Source organism: Homo sapiens, chromosome 11, assembly GCF_000001405.40.
Source record: "Homo sapiens chromosome 11, GRCh38.p14 Primary Assembly".
Taxonomy (NCBI): Eukaryota; Metazoa; Chordata; class Mammalia; order Primates; family Hominidae; genus Homo; species Homo sapiens.
This window is the reverse complement of record NC_000011.10, coordinates 47036183-47055614: the sequence shown is the minus strand read 5'-3', so window position 1 is coordinate 47055614 and position 19432 is coordinate 47036183. Positions and strand designations below refer to the sequence as shown.

At 43.9% G+C, this 19432-nt stretch overlaps 1 protein-coding gene and 1 pseudogene across 7 annotated transcripts in view; one reads left to right on the top strand and one right to left on the bottom strand.

The window, feature by feature from the left end:
- Positions 1-19432, bottom strand: part of CSTPP1 (centriolar satellite-associated tubulin polyglutamylase complex regulator 1) — a 227697-nt gene that overhangs the window by 108771 nt on the left and 99494 nt on the right. For 6 of the 7 annotated variants that reach the window (NR_103471.2, NM_001278222.1, NM_001003678.3 and 3 more), the window contains one exon: positions 3097-3227. The exons of the other annotated variant lie outside the window; for it this stretch is intronic. Coding sequence is in view for 5 of the 6 variants with exons in the window: in NM_001278222.1 (NP_001265151.1) it covers positions 3097-3227 (131 nt within the window). In the remaining variant the exon portion in view is untranslated. The remainder of the gene's footprint in view (positions 1-3096; positions 3228-19432) is intronic. 7 annotated transcript variants of the gene reach the window in all.
- Positions 13747-15695, top strand: LOC112268075 (ATPase Get3-like; annotated as a pseudogene).

Here is a 19432-nt window from a genome sequence, read left to right as displayed (position 1 = left end):
ATACCCACTTTACCTATTTCTTAGGGCAGTGGAACTAATAAGATATTGGGTGGAAAAGTTTTAGAAAAGATTTAGTAACTACATATAAAAGTTTAATAGCTATATATTTAGTAGCTATTTAGAAAAGTTACAGTTTCGTAGCAGTAGCATTGATTAGAGCATGGTGGGGAATCTCATAAATTCAAAAGCAGGGAGACTACCTATTCACTGACTATAACCTCAGTGGGGAGGGGAGGGGAAGGAAGGAAGGGAGGGGAGGGAGGGAGGGGAAGGAAGGAAGGAACGAAGGAAGGAAGGCAAGAAAGAAGAAAGAAAAAGAAAAGCAAGCAAGCAAGAAATTGTCTTAAAGGTATTTATGAAAACACATAATATGAAAGTAGGAGACCAGGCATGGTAGCCCACGCCTATAACCCCAGCACTTTGGGAGGCTGAGGTGGACGAGTGGCTTGAGCCCAGGAGTTTGAGACCAGCCTGGATAACATAGCGAAACCCCAACTCTATAAAAAATAGAAAAATTAGCCACACATGGTAGTGCACAAATATATTCCCAGCTACTTGAGGTGGGAGGATCACCTGAGCTTGGAAGGTCGAGGCTGCAGTGAGCTGAGATTGTGTCATTGTATTCCTGCCTGGGTGACAGAGTAAAACCCTGTCTCCAAAAAAAAAAAAAAAAAAAAAAAAAAAAATTGAAATTTATTCTGTGGCTATTACTTGAAGGCTTTTAAAAAATATTCTTACCCAGTGGCCCAAGCCAAAAACTTGGAAATTACCACGGTCTTCTCTCTCATCTTAATGCCAAATCCAATCACCAAATCCTATGGATTCTATCTCTGAAAGTGCCCCTTCTGTCTCCATACTGCCTTAGTGTTGGGTCTAATCTCTCACTCAACTACTACCAGACTTCTATGTTCCTTGTCTCTAGTCTAGGCCATCTTCTACACTGCCTTTTGAATGATCTTTCTAGAGCTCAGATATCACCACACCACTCTCCTATCTAAAAGCCTTCAAATAAGATGGGGCATGGTGGCTCACATCTGTAATCCCAGTGCTTTGGGAGGCTGAGGCCTTGAGCCCAGGAGTTTGAGACCAGCCTGGGCCACACAGCAAAACCCCGTCTCTACAAAAAAATTTAAAATTAGCTAGGTATGGTAGGCATGTACCTGTAGTCCTAGCTAGTTGGGAGGCTGAGTTAGGAAGATCACTTGAGCCTGGAAGCTCAAGGTTATAGTGAACTATGATCATATGATCATGCCACTGCACTCCAGCCTGGGCAACAGGGTCTTTTTTTTTTTTTTTTTTTTTTTGAGACGGAGTATTGCTCTGTCACCCAGGCTGGAGTGCAGTAGCGCGATCTTGGATCACTGCAAGCTCCACCTCCTGGGTTCACACCATTCTCCTGCCTCAGCCTCCCGGGTAGCTGGGACTACAGGCACCCGCCACCACACCCGGCTAATTTTTTTGTATTTTTTAGTAGAGATGGGGTTTCACCATGTTAGCCAGGATGGTCTCGATCTCCTGACCTTGTGATCTGCCCGCCTCGGCCTCCCAAAGTGCTGAGATTACAGGCATGAGTCACCGTGCCCGGCTGCAACAGGGTCTTTAAAAAAAAAAAAGCCTTCAAATAATACCCAGAGAATAAAATTTAACTTTTTTGTTTGTTTGTTTGTTTTTTTGAAGCAGGATCTCGCTGTCACCTAGGCTAGAGTCAGTGGCATAATCATGACTCACTGTAGCCTCAACCTCCCTCAGCTCAAGTGATCCTCCCACCTCAGCCTCCCAAGTAGCTGTGAGTACAGGTATGTGCCACCACACCTGGCTAATTTTGTTTATTTTTTTGTAGAGACGAAGTCTCAGTATGTTGTCCAGGTTGGTCTCAAACTCCTGGGCTCAAGTGATCCTCCCACCTTGGGCTCCCAAAATGCTGGGATTACAGGTGTGAGCCACCACATCCAGCCCCAATTTCTTTTCTTTTCTTTTTTCTTTTTTTTTTTTTTTGAGGCAGAGTCTTGCTCTGTCGTCCAGGCTGGAGAGCAGTGGCACGATCTCGGCTCACGGCAACCTCTGTCCCCCAGGGTTCAAACGATTTTCGTTCCTCAGCCTCCTGAATAGCTGGGATTATAGGAGTGCGCCACCACACCTGGCTAATTTTTGTATTTTTAGTAGAGACGGGGTTTCACCATGTTGGACAGGCTGGTTTCAAACCCCTGACCTCAAGTGATCCACCTGCCTTGGCATCCCAAAGTGCTGGGATTACAGGCTGAGCCACTGTGCCTGGCCCAATTTCTTTTTTATGGCTAAAAAATGATCTTTCAGCAGCTCCATTATTCCTTTACAGTCTCATCTCCCCTAACCTCCTTCATAAACTCCACACAAACTCTAGACATCCTGATCTGTTATGTAAGTATTCTAGGTTCTTTTGTGCTTCAGCATATGTTCTACCTAGGATGCCCTTCTCTCCTTTATCCATGTGAATGATTCCTACTCTTCCTTCCCAGCTTAGATCAAACAGTCAGTTCTAAGGAGAACCTTCTCTACTCCACTTTTCTCTCCCTTCTCTAACAACAGTATCCCCATCCCACCCCCATTCAGGAGTTTCTTTCTTCATATTCACATTATTCCTTGTATTTACTGCATGGCATTTTAATATCTGCCAAGAGCAAGGGCTGTGAAGTCAGACTGCCTGGGTATAAATCTGGGCCCAGAATTTACTATGTAACCTTGCCAAGTTACTTAACCTCTCTGATCCTCAGTTTCATTAGTTACAAAATGGGGATTATGGTATCTACCACAGAGAGCCCTTGTAAAGATAAATGAGTTACTACATGTAAAGAGCTACACTTGGCTCTTAATAGGTACCATTAGTGATGGTAGTGGTAATAGTAATATCTTTGACATAAACCAGACAACTCCTCAAAAGTGAGGTATTCTAAATGCCTTGAATAGCATGCATTCAAACAATATTTATAGGAACAAAAGAAAAAGTTTGAAAGAGAAAGAGAGGAAAAGAGAGAGAGAAAGAAAGAGAGAGAGAGGAAGGAAGGAAGGAAGAAAGGAAGGAAGGAAGGAAGGAAGGAAAAAGAATTTGGGAAGACTTACCGCCATTTTTGCCCACAGTTCGGAAGCATCTCCAGAAGGCCCGTAAAAATGATACCCTATTGTGGGGGGTGGCTTGGACGAAGCTGAATTCTCGAAAGAGAATGTGTGTTCCCTGGCATACACTGTTAAAACTGCAAAGAGAAAAGTCAAGAAGTCATTGTTAGATGGAATCCAGAAGGCTGGAATCAGAATGAAAAATTGAGACCAGAGAGAACCACTGCCAAAAACGGGGAATTTTTCTCCCCAACAAAACTCTGAACTCTAGATTAGACCTAGTCCTTCTATGGGGAAGTCTCTTCATATAACCATACCTTTCCGAAAACTCTTGGAGGCCAGTTCCTCTGAGTGCTTCCCACCTTCCACAGGTACACACAGAGGACATCTGAATCAGTCATTCGAGCAACGCATATGGAGGAAAGCCTTTTAGCCTCTAACTGGATGACACTGGCACTCATATCTTTCTTTTTGGAGAATACTTTTCCCTCTACTGCATTTGGAATTAGGTTTCCTTAAAGATATTATTTCTGGGCTGGGCGCAGTGGGTCACGCCTGTAATCCCAGCACTTTGGGAGGCCAAGGCGGGTGGATCACTTGAGGTCAGGAGTTGGAGACCAGCCTGGCCAACATGGTGAAACCCTGTCTCTACTAAAAATACAAAAATTAGCTGGGCATGGTGGCGTGCACCAGTCATTCCAGCTACTCGGGAGGCTGAGGCAGGAGAATCACTTGAACCTGGGAGGTGGAGGTTGCAGTGAGCCGAGATCATGCCACTGCACTCCAGCCTGATCAACAGAGTGAGACTCAGTCTCAAAAAAAAAAAAAAAAAAGAAAAAAGATATTATTTCTGTACTCTCCCTGGCCTATACCAGCTGCCATAAGGATGACATGGCTATGGGGACATAACTGGAGTGGCTGTTCCAGTTTGGGGTGGTTTTATATATCTCTCTGACAATAACCCCAGAGACAAATCCCATGTGCCAAAGGATATAAAGGGTCCAAACAGAACAAGAAAGGAAAATAGAAACAAGGGTATAAAGTGGCCCCTAAATGAGAGTATGAAGCAAAGCCCCAGGGCCCAAGTGAGTCATTGTTTAAGCTGGGCCAGGGAAGGGAAAAAAATATACTCCATTGCCTTTGGGTTTTCCTGCCAAAGAAATAAAGGCTGTAGAGCCTGGTGTAATCTAAAAGTGGAAATTCCACCGAAGAATAGGCAATTATCCAGTAATCATCCCTACCAGAGTGAACTTTAGGTTCCAGAAAACTTCTAAATTCCCTGACAAGTAAATCAGGAGTGGAAACATGTTAATCTTTGTGGAGAGGCAGACATTAAATTTGAAGATGGCAAGCAATGGGGGGAACGATGGTAATTCCAAATGCCAGTTTTCATTTGTTGACCATATAAAGGGGGGGAAAAATCTGACTCTGAATGGAACAGGAAAAAATTTCAGGAGGCATCTATTCCGTTTCCCTTCTCCTAGACCAACTTCATGGGAAAGTATCTAACTTGTCTTTAATATAGAGTGTGTTTTCATTTAGAATAAAGTTAGTTCCTTCCTAATAGTAACAGCACTGTATGAAAAAGCAAATTATATACTCTTCTCCTTTCATGGAGAGCTAGCATAGAAATCTACTTCTAAGACACCCTGAGGAAGTATGCGGACATCACCTGGCAAAAGATTAGGTTAGAAGAGGGGCTTTCAAAAGCAATGAAAGTGTTAACCTAACCACGCAGTGCTATTGTCTTAAGGAAAGGAAAATAAAAAATACAGCAAATGAGCTGTTATAGGTAAATGCAGTAGGCTACATTTCCAGCAAATGAAGTCTGAAATGATAATACTGTAGCCTAAATTTATGAAACTGTCCAGCAAAGAAGTAGTCCCAAATTGTGCTTCATATTCTAAGGGGGAAAAAGCTGATGTCTAGGTCATGGTCTAGTGAAATTATAGCTTTGGTATAGCTTTTAAAGACCATCTCAAATGCCAATTTTGTGTAAAGTCTTTTCCTGATTTTATCTCCCATGCCCAATTTCCATCGTATCTCACTTAAAACTCTCTAACAGTGCTCACAATTTGCTACTTTGTTTTAAAGTTACTGGACTTTCTCCTATTAGACTGTCAGTTCTATGGAGTAAGCACTTAGGCTGTACTCATCTTTGCCTCTACTATATTACCTGACTCATTACCTAACTGATAGTTACTCATAAATATTTGTGGAAATTGATTTAGAAAGATAAGAAAGACAGGTAAGTGATGCCAGGTAGAATGTATCTTTGAAGCTAGCCACACAGGAAATATTGAAAGTCTATATCTTACTAATTTTTCTAAATTCCAGGCTTTGAGTCTGATATTTTTATTATAATATTGCAATACCAGCTTTATTTTGATTGGTATTTTCCTGGTGTATCTGTTTCTGTGCCTTTAATAACCCTTCTAGGTCATTTTGTTTATGTATATCTCTTGTAAATAGCATATGGCTAGATTCTGCTTCTCTACCCAACCTTACAGTCACTATATGTTAACGAGTAGCTTTTCAGTGTATCTGATTAATTTCTGACCTGATATCTTATTTTGTCTTTCCCATTATCCATTCTTCTTTCCCTTTCCCCACCTTCTTTTCCCACCTTCTATTGTGTTAGTAAAGTTTTGTTTTAATTCTTTTCTACCCTCCCTGTTAGTTTGGAAGCTATAGACAAAATCTATAATCTTTCAGTATTAAAATTTAACATAATCAGCCAGGCATGGTGGTGCATGCCTGTAGTTCTACTCAGAGGCTGAGGATGGAGGATCGCTTGAGCCCAGCAGTTTGAGTCCAGCCTGGGCAATATGGTGAGACCCCATCTTAAAACATTAACATAATATTTATCTACATTGTTTTTCCCCAGACATTGTCTCCCACTGTCACCCAGTCTGGAGTGCAGTGGCCCCATCTTGGCTCACTGCAACCTCTGCCCTCCAGGCTCAAGCACTGATCCTCCCACCTCAGCCTCCCAATTAGCTGGGACCAAAGGCAGGCATCATCACACTCAGCTATTTTTTTGGATTTTTAGTAGAGATGGGGTCTTACCATGTTGCCCTGACTGGTCTCAAACTCCTGAGTTCAAGTGATCCACCCATCTCAGCCTCCCAAAGTGTTGGGATTACTGGCATGAGCCACCGCGCCTGGCCTATCTACATATTTTTGAAAATGTCTGAAAATACTCATTATCTTTATAACTCTCCAAAACAAGACAATGGGCCAGGCATGGTGGCTTATGCCTATAATCCCAGCACTTTGGAAGGCTGAGGTGGGTGGGCTGCTTGAGCTCAGCAGTTTGAGACCAGCCTGGGCAACATAGTGAAACCTTGATTTTATGAAACATTACAAAAATTAGCTGGGCATGGTGGTGCATGCCTTTGGTCCCAGCTACTTGAGAGGCTGAGGTGGGAGGACTGCTGGAGCCTAGGAGGTCAAGGCTGCAGTGAGCTGTGATCGCACCACTGCACTCCAGCCTGGGTGACAGAGCAAGACCCTGTCTCAAAATAAATAAACAAACAAAACAAAAATAAAAATAAAACAAGACAAAGCCCAAAGCACACTTTCTATAACTTATGTGCAGTCTTCTCATCTTCTGATATTATTTTTTAGAATGTGACTAGAATCTATCTCTTTTTAAATTGGAAAACTTTTTTAATGTGGTAAACTATACATAATATTTATCATTTAACCATTTGCAACTGTACAATTCAGTGTCATTAAATATATTCACAATGCTGTGCAACCATGAACACTATCAATACCCAAAACTTTTTCATCATCCCCAACAAAAACTCTACATCAATTAAACAACAACACCCCCTTCTGCCCACCCCCCAGACCCTCATAACCTCTATTCTACTTTCTATCTCTATATATTTGCCTATTCTAAGTACCTCATATAAGTGGAATCATGTAATATCTGTCGTTCTGGCCTATTTCACTAAGAATAATGTCTTCAAGGGCCGTACATGTAGCATGTATCAAAATTTCTTTCTTTCTTTCCCTCCTTCCTTCTTTCCTTCCTTCATAATTTTTAAATAATAGAGACAGGGTCTCCCTATGTTGCCCAGGCTGGTCTCAAGCCTTGAACTCCTGGCCTTAAATGATCCTTCAACCGTACCTTCCCAAAGTGTTGGGATTACAGGTGTAAGCCACTGCAGGGCCATAAATTTATTTTCTTTTTAAAGCAGAATAATATTCCTTTGTATGTATGTACCATCTATTGTTTATCCATTGATCTGTTGATGGACCCTTGGGTTACTTCCACCTTTTGGCTATTGTGAATAATGCTGCTATGATTTGTATACAAGTATCTGTTTCAGTTCCTTCTTTAATTCTTTTAGATGTATACCTACAAGTGCAATTGCTGGGTCATATGGTAGTTATAGGTTTAACCTTTTGAGAAACAACCGAACTGTTTTCCAGAGCAGCTGTACTATTTTACATTCTCACTAGCAATGCACAAGGGCTCCAATTTGTCCACCTCCTCAGCAACACATGCTATTTTCCTTTTTAAAAAACAGCCAACCTAGAAGATGTGAAGTGGCATCTTATTGTTGTTTTGATTTGCATTTTACCAATGACTAATGATGTTGAGCATCTTTTCATGTGTTGGCCATTTGGATATCTTCTTTGGAGAAATGTCTCTTCAAGTCCTTTGCCCATTTTTAAATTGGGTTGTTTTGTTGTTGTTGAGTTGCAGGAGTTCTTTACATATTCTGGATATTAATTCCTTATTGGATATATGATTTGCAAATATTTTCTTCTATTGTGTAGGTTGTCCTTTCACTTTCATGATAGTATCCTTTGATGCACAAAAGTTCTTAATTTTGATGAAGTCCAATTTATCTATATTTTTTGTTCCTTATGCTTTTGGTGTTATATCCATGAAATAATTGCTAAATTTAATGTTATGAAAACTGTCCCCTGTTTTCTTCTAAGAGTGTTGTAGTCCAATTTCATTCTTTCACACGTGGATATCCAGTTTTCCCAGCACCATTGGTTGAAAAGACTGTCCTTTCCCTATTGAATTGCACCTTTGCAGGAAATCAAATGACCATATATGTAAAGATTTATTTCTGGGCTTCCTAATCTATTCCAGTGGTCTATATGTTTGTCCTTATGCCAGGACCATAATACTTGAATTACTGTGGCTTCATAGCTAGTTTTATAGTTGGGAAGTTTGAACTTTCCAATTTTATATTCTTTTTTCAAGATTGTCCTGGCTATTCCATATGATTTTGAGGATTAGCTTCTTCTCTCAGTGAAAAAGCCTATTTATTTTGATAGAAATTTTGTTGAATCGCCAGGTGCGGTGGCTCACGTCTGTAATCCTAGCACTTTGGGAGGTTGACGCGGGCAGATCACCTGAGGTCAGGAGTTCAAGACCAGCCTGGCCAACATGGTGAAACCCTGTATCTACTAAAAATACAAAAATTAGCCAGGTGTGGTGGCGGGCACCTGTAATCCCAGCTTTTCTGGAGGCTGAGGCAGAAGAACCGCTTGAACCCGGGAGGTGGAGGTTGTAGTGAGCTGAGATTGAGCCACTGCACTCCAGCCTGGGAGACAGAGTGAGACTCCATCTCAAAAAAAAAAAAAAGAAAAGAAATTGTGTTCAATCAACCAGCCTGACCAACATGGTGAAACCCCATCTCTACTAAAAATACAAAAATTAGTCGGGCATGGTGGTGGATGCCTGTAATCCCAGCTACTCAGGATTCTGAGCAGGAGAATCACTTGAACCTGGGAGGTGGAGGTTGCAGTGAGCCGAGATCACGCCACTGCACTCCAGCCTGGGTGGCAGAGTGAGACTCTGTCTCAAAAAAAAAAAAAAAAAAAAAAAAGAAAAGAAGATAAAAGAAAAGAAAAGAAAATTGTGTTGAATCAGTAGATTGCTTTGGGTAGAACTGACATGTTAACAGTGTTACATCATCCTATCCATGTACTCAGGGTGTCTTTCTATTTATTTAGCTCTTCTTTAATTTCATTCAGCAATGTTTTATAGTTTTCAGTGTGCAAGTCTTTCACCTCCTCAGTTAGACTTATTCCTAATAGACTAAATCTTTTGGATGCTCTTTTAAACAGAATTGCTTTTCTTAATTTCCTTTTTAGATTGTTCATTGATGGTATATAGAAACAACTGATTTTTATGTGTTGCTCTTGTCCCCTGCAACTTTGCTGAATTCATTTATAAGCTCTAGAAGTTTTTTTTTTTTTTTTTTCTTTTGGTGGATTCTTTAGGATGCTTTTTATGCATAGGACCATGTAACCTGTGAATATAGTTTTACCTTTTACTTTCCAATTTGGATGTCATTTATTTCTTTTGATATCTACCTTTTCCTTTTTTTTCCTTTTTTAAAAAATTCACCCCCATACCTACAGGACAATATACCTTTTTAAATGTAAAAATTACCACTTTAGGCTGGGAGTGGTGGCTCACGCCTGTAATCCCAGCACTTTGGGAGGCTGAGGCGGGTGCATCATGAAGTCAGGAGTACAAGACCAGCCTGGCCAACATGGTGAAACCCCGTCTCTACTAAAAATACAAAAATTACCCAGGTGTGGTGGCAGGTGCCTGTAATCCCAGCTACTCGGGAGGCTGAGGCAGGAGAATTGCTTAAACCCGGGGGACGGAGGTTGCAGTGAGCCTAGATGGCACCACTGCACTCCAGCCTGGGCATCAGAGTGAGACTCCATCTCAAAAAGAAAAAAAAGAGAAAAAAGAAAAAAATGACTACTTTAAAAAAATCAATAATTAATTAAGTTTACCTACATTTATCAAATCAATTTTCATGCTCACTACTGTTTCCCACATTCTGCTCCTTCACTCTTGGTTCAATTATTTCTTGCTAAAGAAATAAGATCCATAATCCTTTAATAAGATCCATAATCACTTATCTGAAATCCTGGGACCTTTCTGGTTTGGAAGTGACAAATTTTGAGATTTTATAAAGGTTGCACAAACCAGATGTGATATAACACCTTCAGCAGGGTTGGGATAGCACCCCATGGATTCAAACATATTAAAGTCTCCACAGTGAAACATATAAGTATTCACACTAAGTGGGATAAACAAAGACCAAAATTAGCCCATGAACTAGTTTAGGTCAAGTTTGCCCCACAAATGAGGTTGCTGAAAACTTACCAAAGGACAACTTCAGGTTTTCAAAGCTTTTTTTGAATTGTGAAATTTATTAATATACATAAACCTGTAGTTCTTTCAGCAAAAGCCTGTGAGTGGTAAATGCTCTCAGTTTTCATCTACCTCAAAATATCTTTATTTTACCTTCTGGAGTGAAATTTAATTCAGTGGAGAATTCTGGTTGTTACTTATCTTCTCTCAGCACTTTAAAGATACCACCCAGTTGTCACCTCGCACCTATCACTGATATCAAGCAAACTGCTGTCAAACTCCTGCCATTCCTTTGGAGTTAATCATTCTTATAATTCATATAAACAATTTTCTTTATCATTAATGCAGATTCTACAATGTATCTACCATGTAGGTTTATTTTTATTTATCTTGCTCAGTACTTTAAACTGACTTCTGTTTTTTGTCAGTTCAGGAAAATTCTCAGCCCACATATACATTTTTTGAGACAGGATCTCACTTTGTTGCCCAGGCTGGAGTGCAGTAGCATGACCATAGCTCACTAGAAGCTTGAACTCCTGGGTTCAAGTGATCCTCCCACCTCAGCTTCCTGAGTAGCTGGGACTACAGGTGCACACAACCATGCCTGGCTAAACTTAATTTTTTTGTAGAGATGGGAGCTCGCTATGTTGCTCAGGCTGGTCCTCAAGCAATCCTCCTGCCTCAGCCTCCCAAAGTACTAGAATTATAGATGTGAGTCACTGCACCCCCCAATTCTTTTTAAAATATTGCTTCTTTGCCATTCCCTATATCATTTTCTTCTGTTTCCTATTAGATATACATTGTAGCTTTTTAATGCCTCTTACCTGTCTTCATAGTTTTTTATCTCTTTATGTTATTATCTTTTAAATTATTCATTCTCTATTCTGTCTGTTCAGCCTAAGTAATGCAGATTCTACAATTCTGCAAGATTCACGTGACTGCGCTCCAGCCTGGGCAATAATGTGAGATCCTATCTCAAGAAATACACATGTATATATATTGGCTGAGAATTTTCCAGAACTAACAACAACAACAAAAAACAAAACAGAAGTCAAAGTGCTGAGTAAGATAAATAAAAATAAACTGTCCAGGAGCGGTGGCTCACACCTGTAATCCCAGCATTTTGGGAGGTCGAGGCGGGTGGGTCACAAGGTCAGGAATTTGTGACCAGCCTGGCCAATATGGTGAAACCCTGTCTCTACTAAAAACACAAAAAAATTAGCCAGGCGTGATGGTGCATGCCTGTAATCCCAGCTACTTGGGAGGCTGAGGCAGGAGAATTGGTTGAACCTGGGAGGCAGAGGTTGCAGTGAGCCGAGATCACGCCACTACACTCCAGCCTGGGTGACAGAGCGAGACTCCATCTCAAAAATAAATAAATAAATAAAAATAAACCTACATGGTAGATACATTGTAGAACCTGCATTATTCAGGCTGACCAGACAGAATAGAGAATGAATAATTTAAAGATAATAAGTGCCTCCCAAGTAGCTGAATCTACAGGCGCATGCCACCATGCCTTTTTATATCTAGAGACAGGATTGTAGAGACAGGGTTTCGCCATGTTGCCCAGGCTGGTCTCAAACTCCTGGGCTCAAGTGATCCACCCACTTTGGCCTCTGAAAATGCCAGGATTACAGGTGTGAGCCACCTCAACCTGGCCTCAAAGTCAGTTTTAAATGTTCAACTATTTTTGTTTTCTCTGGAGTAAATTTATGTTTATTGGGTTTATTGACTATCTTTCTCAACATCAGTGTTCCTCATGTATTTTAGAATTTCAGCGTATAAGTTCATGTGAAGTGGGAGGTTTCTACTCTCTCTTGTGGACAGACCCTAGTCCAGAACCAGGTCTTGTATTGGATGGCTTATGGCTCCATTCCTGATATTAGGGATATCATACAGATTGTCACTGTACCCCTAAGGAGGTTGGACCACTAAGACCTGGCTGTAAGGCTGTCTGCTTCCTCCCACACCTCAAGGTTTTTGTTTTTTTAATAGACGGGGTCTCACTATGTTGCCCAGGCTGGTCTCAAACTCCTGGCTCAAGGGATTCTCCTGCCTCAGCTTTCCAAACAGCTGGGGCTACAGGTGTGCACCACCGCACCTGGCTAAACCTCCAGGTTTTATGTAAGCCATTTCTCAGGTAGCAGTCATAACTTTTTTTGAGTCTTTCTTAAAGTGGTGGAGGCAAAAGGGGCTAGCTCCAGTCTCCTGCACTGTGTGTATAACATTTTGAGTCTCCACCATTCAAGAAATGAGCTTTCAGTTACCTACGCCTTCTGAATCCAGAGCACAGGAGGCATGTGGTTACAGTCCCACTTACTGCATTGTGGTTTAGTGAGTTCCTAGTCAGATGAATTTATATTAATTTTATACATGGCTATGTCCTTAAAAATCTTAGAAAATTTTATGTATCATTACCATGTGTATGAAATGAATAAGAGGCCCAAGTCATGAACACTGCAAGCCATCATGACCAGAAATCCAAAACAAACATTTGACCTACCAAGCTTAAAAATGCATATTTGCACTAATTTTTCATTGTATTTGACTAAACTACAAAGTTCTTTAATAGACATTAATCTTTCCTCTAAAGTAAAACAAAAAAGTTCCTAAAAATATCTTAAAGGCCATACAGAAGTACACCATATGTCTGCCATAAACAGATTTTGCCAAAACGAGTATTCAAATTTCATTGAGCAATTTTTTTTATTCTTTAAGTTGTTGAAGTTTTTCCTTGAAGATTTTAATTTTTAAAAATTTTGACATATTGTAATTTCAAATTTACCAAAAAGTTATAATAGCACAAAGAATTCCTGAATATCCTTTACCTGGATTACTCAAATGTGAATATTTTGCTACATTTACTCTCACTCACTCTCTTTTCTCTCTCTCTCTCTCACACACACACACAGACATATAAGTACATATGTATATACATATTATCATTTTTTGGAACTATTTAAGAGTAAGTTATAGACGTGACGCTTGTTTACTCCTACAGTATTTCAAAAAAAAAAAAAAAACAGAAGTCAAAGTGCTGAGCAAGATAAATAAAAATTAGGAAATAAGGAATTCCTAAAAATATTCCCTAAAAATAATGAAATCTTTCTTCCATCCATCCATCCTTCCTTCCTTCCTCTCTTTCTTTATTTTATTTTTTATTTTTTTGGACAGGGACTTGCTCTGTTGCCCAGGCTGGAATGCAGTGATGCAATCATAGCTCACTGTAGCCTTGAACTCCTGAGCTCAAGTGATCCTCCCACCTCAGCCTCCTGAGTAGCTGGGACTACAAGCACACACAATCATGCTTGTCTATTTAAAAAAATTTTTTTTTGTAGAGATGGGGTCTCACTTCCAGGCCGATCTCAAACTCCTGGCTTCAAGTGATCCTTCCACCTCAGTCTCCCAAAGTCAGCCTCCAAGAGCCACTGGAGCCTAGGTTTAGCAACATCATTGAGAAATGCAGCCTTAAGTTAAGTGGATCCTTGCTGGCGCAAAGGTGGCATGGGAAAGACCACTTGCAGTTGCAGCCTGGCCATCCAGCTATCAAAAGGGCATGAAAGTATTCTGATCATCTCCACAGACCTAGCCCACAACATCTCAGATGGTTTTGACCAGAAGTTCTCAAAGGTGCCTACCAAGGTCAAAGGCTCTGACAACCTCTTCACTGTGGAAATTGACCCCAGCCAGGGTGCAGCATAGCTGCCCAGTGAGTTCTTTGAGAAGGAAAACATGCTGAGCATGAGCAAGAAGTTGATGCAGGAAGCCATGAGCGCCTTTCCCGGCATCAATGAGGCCATGAGCTATGCTGAGGTCATGAGGCTGGTGAAGGGCATGAACTTCTCAGTGGTGGTGGTTGACATGACACTCAGCAGATCAAGAACCAGATCAGCCCCTTTATCTTACAGACATGCAACGTTCTAGGTCTTGGGGACATGAACACAGACGTGCTGTCCTCCATGCTGAAGTAGACACTGTCCATCATCTACTTTGTCAGCAAACAGTTCAAGGGCCCTGAGTAGATTACCTGTATCATCTGCGAATATATCCCTGAGTTCTATCCCTGTATGAGACAGAGTGACTGATCCAGGAGCTGGCCAAGTACAAGATTGACACATACAACATCATCATCACCCAGCTTCTCTTCCCCAACCCTGAAAATCCTGAAAGATATGTGAGGCCTGACACAAGATCCAGGCCAAGTATCTGAACCAGACGGAGAACACTTATAAAGACTTTTGCACTGTGAAACTGCCACTGTTTCCCCATGAGGTGCAGGGGGCAGACAAAGTCAACACCTTCTCAGCCCTCTTTATGGAACCCTACAAGCCCTGTAGCACCCAGCAGCACCACTGCCAGCCCCAGCTGCTGCCATTTTACATCCAACCTTCACCTTCCCCACCCTCCAGGGCAGAGTTTACACAAATCCCTCCCCACCACCGCTGCCATAGTACAAGGGAGCCACTTGGGGAGCAGGTGTATGGTAGATGCACCTGTCATAAATAATTGAAGCATACCCTGAGAATGACCCTGTGGTCTAAGATGAATGTGTGTTCAGAGTTCTGAGTGAAGGAATTTGGGAATGGCCAACCCAGAGATTCATTCTTTATCTATGAGGAACATCTGAACCATCTGATCCATCCCATGGATCACAGGCCATACAGGGGTTCGAGGCCCTTTGTTTTGGGTTGGATGAAGGTTGCCAGGTGGAGATTGCCGGGGTCGAGGGGCTAAGTGAAAATGCTGTATAAACTGCATGCTTTTTTATAAGTGGTAGCAGTTCTCCTGTTCAGCATGCTGCCCCTGGACTGCCCTGTATGTAAATCCCCTCAAAAAACCTTATGTTTCATTTGCTGGCTCCATGTCTCTTTTTCAGCCTCGCAAACATGGTGCCATCCCTACTGAAGTCAATAGGGGTCCAGCACAACAGGAAGCAGGGAGGGAGTCTATTCTCCTGGTGGGTGTAGAAGTGCTCTAGTTGTCCTCCCTGCCATCTCTCCCTGCCTCTTGCTCTTCATAAAATGATCTTAAACCACAAAATAGTTACAATGAAAATGATGTTAAATGAAACAAAGTTATTTGAAAACCTGTTGTACAGGTTACTTTGTAGAATGTTCTTGAATTTGGGTGTGTCTGATGCCCCCTCATAATTCAATTCAGGTTATGCCCCTTTGGCAGGATTATCACAAAGGTGATGCTGAGTTCCTCTCAGTGCATCACATCTGGGGGCACTTGCTGATTAGTCTAATTACTGGGGATGTTAACTTTGATTCTTTAGTTAGAGCAGCATCTGCCAGGTTTTGCCACTATAAAGTTAGCCTTTGTAATGGATAAGTATCCTGTGGGAAGACATTTTGAGTCTGTGGAAATATATAGTTACTCTTCAAACTTTCATTCACAAATTTTAGTATCTATTAATAATTGTTGGCGAGTTCCAGCAGACCTATGAAGGACTGCCTCCAGGGTCCCTGAGCACAAGGTTGCAAGGCCATGTTGTCACACTCTGGACCTCTTGTTTGTTTGTTTTTTTGAGACGGAGTCTCGCTCTTTCGCCCAGGACGGACTGCAGTGGCACGATCTCGGCTCACTGCAAGCTCCGCCTCCCGGGTTCATGCCATTCTCGTGCCTCAGCCTCCTGAGTAGCTGGGACTACAGGCGCCCGCCACCGCGCCCAGCTAAATTTTTTGTATTTTTAGTAGAGACGGGGTTTCATCATGTTAGCCAGGATGGTCTCGATCTCCTGACCTCGTGATCCGCTTGTCTAAGCCTCCCGAAGTGCTGGGATTACAGACGTGAGCCACTGCGCCCAGCCAACAGATAGGTACAGTCTTTATCTGTTCGTGTGGCTATAAGAAAGTACCAGAGCTCCCTCTCCCTCTCCCTCTCCCCACGGTCTCCCTCTCCCTCTCTCCACGGTCTCCCTCTGATGCGGAGCTGAAGCTGGACGGTACTGCTGCCTGATTCTCCTGCCTCAGCCTGCCAACTGCCTGGGCGCGCGCCGCCACGCCTGACTGGTTTTCGTATTTTTTTGGTGGAGACGGGGTTTCGCTGTGTTGGCTGGGCTGGTCTCCAGCTCCTAACCGCGAGTGATCCGCCAGCCTCGGCATCCTGAGGTGCCGGGATTGCAGACGGAGTCTCATTCACTCCGTGCTCAATGGTGCCCAGGCTGGAGTGCAGTGGCGTGACCTCGGCTCGCTACAACCTTCACCTCCCAGCAGCCTGCCTTGGCCTCCCAAAGTGCCGAGATTGCAGCCTCTGCCCGGCCGCCACCCCGTCTGGGAAGTGAGGAGCGTCTCTGCCTGGCTGCCCAGTCTGGAAAGTGAGGAGCGTCTCTGCCCGGCCGCCATCCCATCTAGGAAGTGAGGAGCGCCTCTTCCCGGCCGCCATCCCATCTGGGAAGTGAGGAGCGTCTCTGCCCGGCGGCCCATCCTCTGAGATGTGGGGAGCACCTCTGCCCTGCCGCCCCGTCCGGGATGTGAGGAGCGTCTCTGCCCAGCCGCCCCGTCTGAGAAGTGAGGAGACCCTCTGCCTGGCAACCGCCCCGTCTGAGAAGTGAGGAGCCCCTCCGCCCGGCAACCGCCCCATCTGAGAAGTGAGGAGCCCCTCCGCCCAGCAGCCACCCCGTCTGGGAAGTGAGGAGCGTCTCTGCCCGGGAGCCACCTCGTCCGGCAGGGAGGTGGGGGGGTCAGCCCCCCGCCCGGCCAGCCACCCCGTCCGGGAGAGAGGTGGGGGGGTCAGACCCCCGCCCGGCCAGCCTCCCAGTCCGGGAGGGAGGTGGGGGGATCAGCCCCCCGCCCGGCCAGCCGCCCCGTCCGGGAGGTGAGGGGCGCCTCTGCCCGGCCGCCCCTACTGGGAAGTGAGGAGCCCCTCTGCCTGGCCGGCCGCCCCGTCCGGGAGGGAGGTGGGGGGGTCAGCCCCCCGCCCGGCCAGCCGCCCCATCCGGGAGGTGAGGGGCGCCTCTGCCCGGCCGCCCCTACTGGGAAGTGAGGAGCCCCTCTGTCCGGCCAGCCACTCCGTCCAGGAGGGAGGTGGGGGGTCAGCCCCCCGCCCGGCCAGCCGCCCCGTCCGGGAGGGAGGTGGGGGGGTCAGCCCCCCGCCCGGCCAGCCGCCCCATCCGGGAAGTGAGGGGCGCCTCTGGCCGGCCGCCCCTACTGGGAAGTGAGGAGTCCCTCTGCCCGGCCAGCCGCCCCGTCTGGGAGGGAGGTGGGGGGGTCCGCCCCCCGCCCGGGCCAGCCGCCCCATCCGGGAGGGAGGTGGGGGGGTCAGCCCCCCGCCCGGCCAGCCGCCCCATCCGGGAGGTGAGGGGCGCCTCTGCCCGGCCGCCCCTACTGGGAAGTGAGGAGCCCCTCTGCCCGGCCAGCCGCCCCGTCCAGGAGGGAGGTGGGGGGGGTCAGCCCTCTGCCCGGCCGCCCCTACTGGGAAGTGAGGAGCCCCTCTGCCCGGCCACCACCCCATCTGGGAGGTGTACCCAACAGCTCATTGAGAAGGGGCCATGATGACAATGGCGGTTTTGTGGAATAGAAAGGGGGGAAGGGTGGGGAAAAGATTGAGAAATCGGATGGTTGCCGTGTCTGTGTAGAAAGAGGTAGACGTGGGAGACTTTTCATTTTGTTCTGCACTAAGAAAAATTCTTCTGCCTTGGGATCCTGTTGATCTGTGACCTTACCCCCAACCCTGTGCTCTCTGAAACATGTGCTGTATCCACTCAGGGTTGAATGGATTAAGGGCGGTGCAAGATGTGCTTTGTTAAACAGATGCTTGAAGGCAGCATGCTCCTTAAGAGTCATCACCACTCCCTAATCTCAAGTACCCAGGGACACAAACACTGCAGAAGGCCGCAGGGTCCTCTGCCTAGGAAAACCAGAGACCTTTGTTCACTTGTTTATCTGCTGACCTTCCCTCCACTATTGTCCTGTGACCCTGCCAAATCCCCCTCTGCGAGAAACACCCAAGAATGATCAATTAAAAAAAAAAAATAATAATAATAATAATTGTTGCCAGAACCAACAATGAATATGAAGGTTTTGCCAAATGGTGATCTTTTTCCAACTACGTCGTTTCATCTACGTTTTTAAGTCGACCTTCTACAATAAGGAAGAGCTTTCCCTTCTTATTTATTTATATCATTGTGGACTCATGGATTCTTTATTCAATAGGTTATAATCCTTTACTATCATTATATATTTTTATGTTCAAATGATCCCATATTTTGCCATGGAAGCCCTTCAAGCTGACTTCTATGTCCTTTTGACACATCTACATAATTCTCTGATCACTTCCTTCCTTTTTTGATAGAATAAGATGTTCCAGGATCATCTTGTTCTTTCCCTACTTCACCCTGGAGCCAGCCATTTATCCAAGAAGCCCAGTTGTTTTTAGTAAAGAATAGGCTGGGCGTGGTGGCTCACTCCTGTAATCCCAGCACTTTGGGAGGCCGAGGTGGGCGGATCACCAGAGGTCAGGAGTTCGAGACCAGCCTGGCCAACATGGCAAAACTCCACCCCTCTAAGAAAAATAAAAAAAATTAGCTGGGCGTGGTGGCACTCGCCTGTAATCCCAGCTACTCGGGAGGCTGAGGGAGGAGAATTGATTGAACCCGGGAGGCAGAGGTTGCAGTGAGCCAAGGTTGTGCCACTGCACTCCAGCCTGGGTGACAGAGAAGAGACTGCGTCTCAAACAAAACAAAACAAAACAAAACAAAACAAATCTATGAGCTCACACTGATTCAATTCCAGTTCAACACTACAGGTTACATTCTATCATCTTCCCTTTCCATATCTGAAATGTCCTTTTTCTAAAGTGAGAAAAAGGCTCCTATTATCTATAACATATTTACTTATTTGCTTAATCCTAAAATGTACTGAGCTAGCTAACCCATTCCTCTGTGAAAAAGAAGCCTACTAATTAGAGTTTAATACTTGTTTAGAGTTGTTTTAGCCTGAGGGTATATAGTCCAAATATTATGTTCCTTAGATTAGTTTCTCCAACCCCCTGCAGTACGGTATATTATTCATTTGAAATACAATTTGCTTCACTTGTTTGTTTTCAATTTTAGAGTCTCCCCCAATCTTGTTGAATATATAAATATAATATATAATATATATATTATATAATATATAATATATAAATATAATATATTATATATATTATATATTAATATAATATATAATATATAATATAAATATA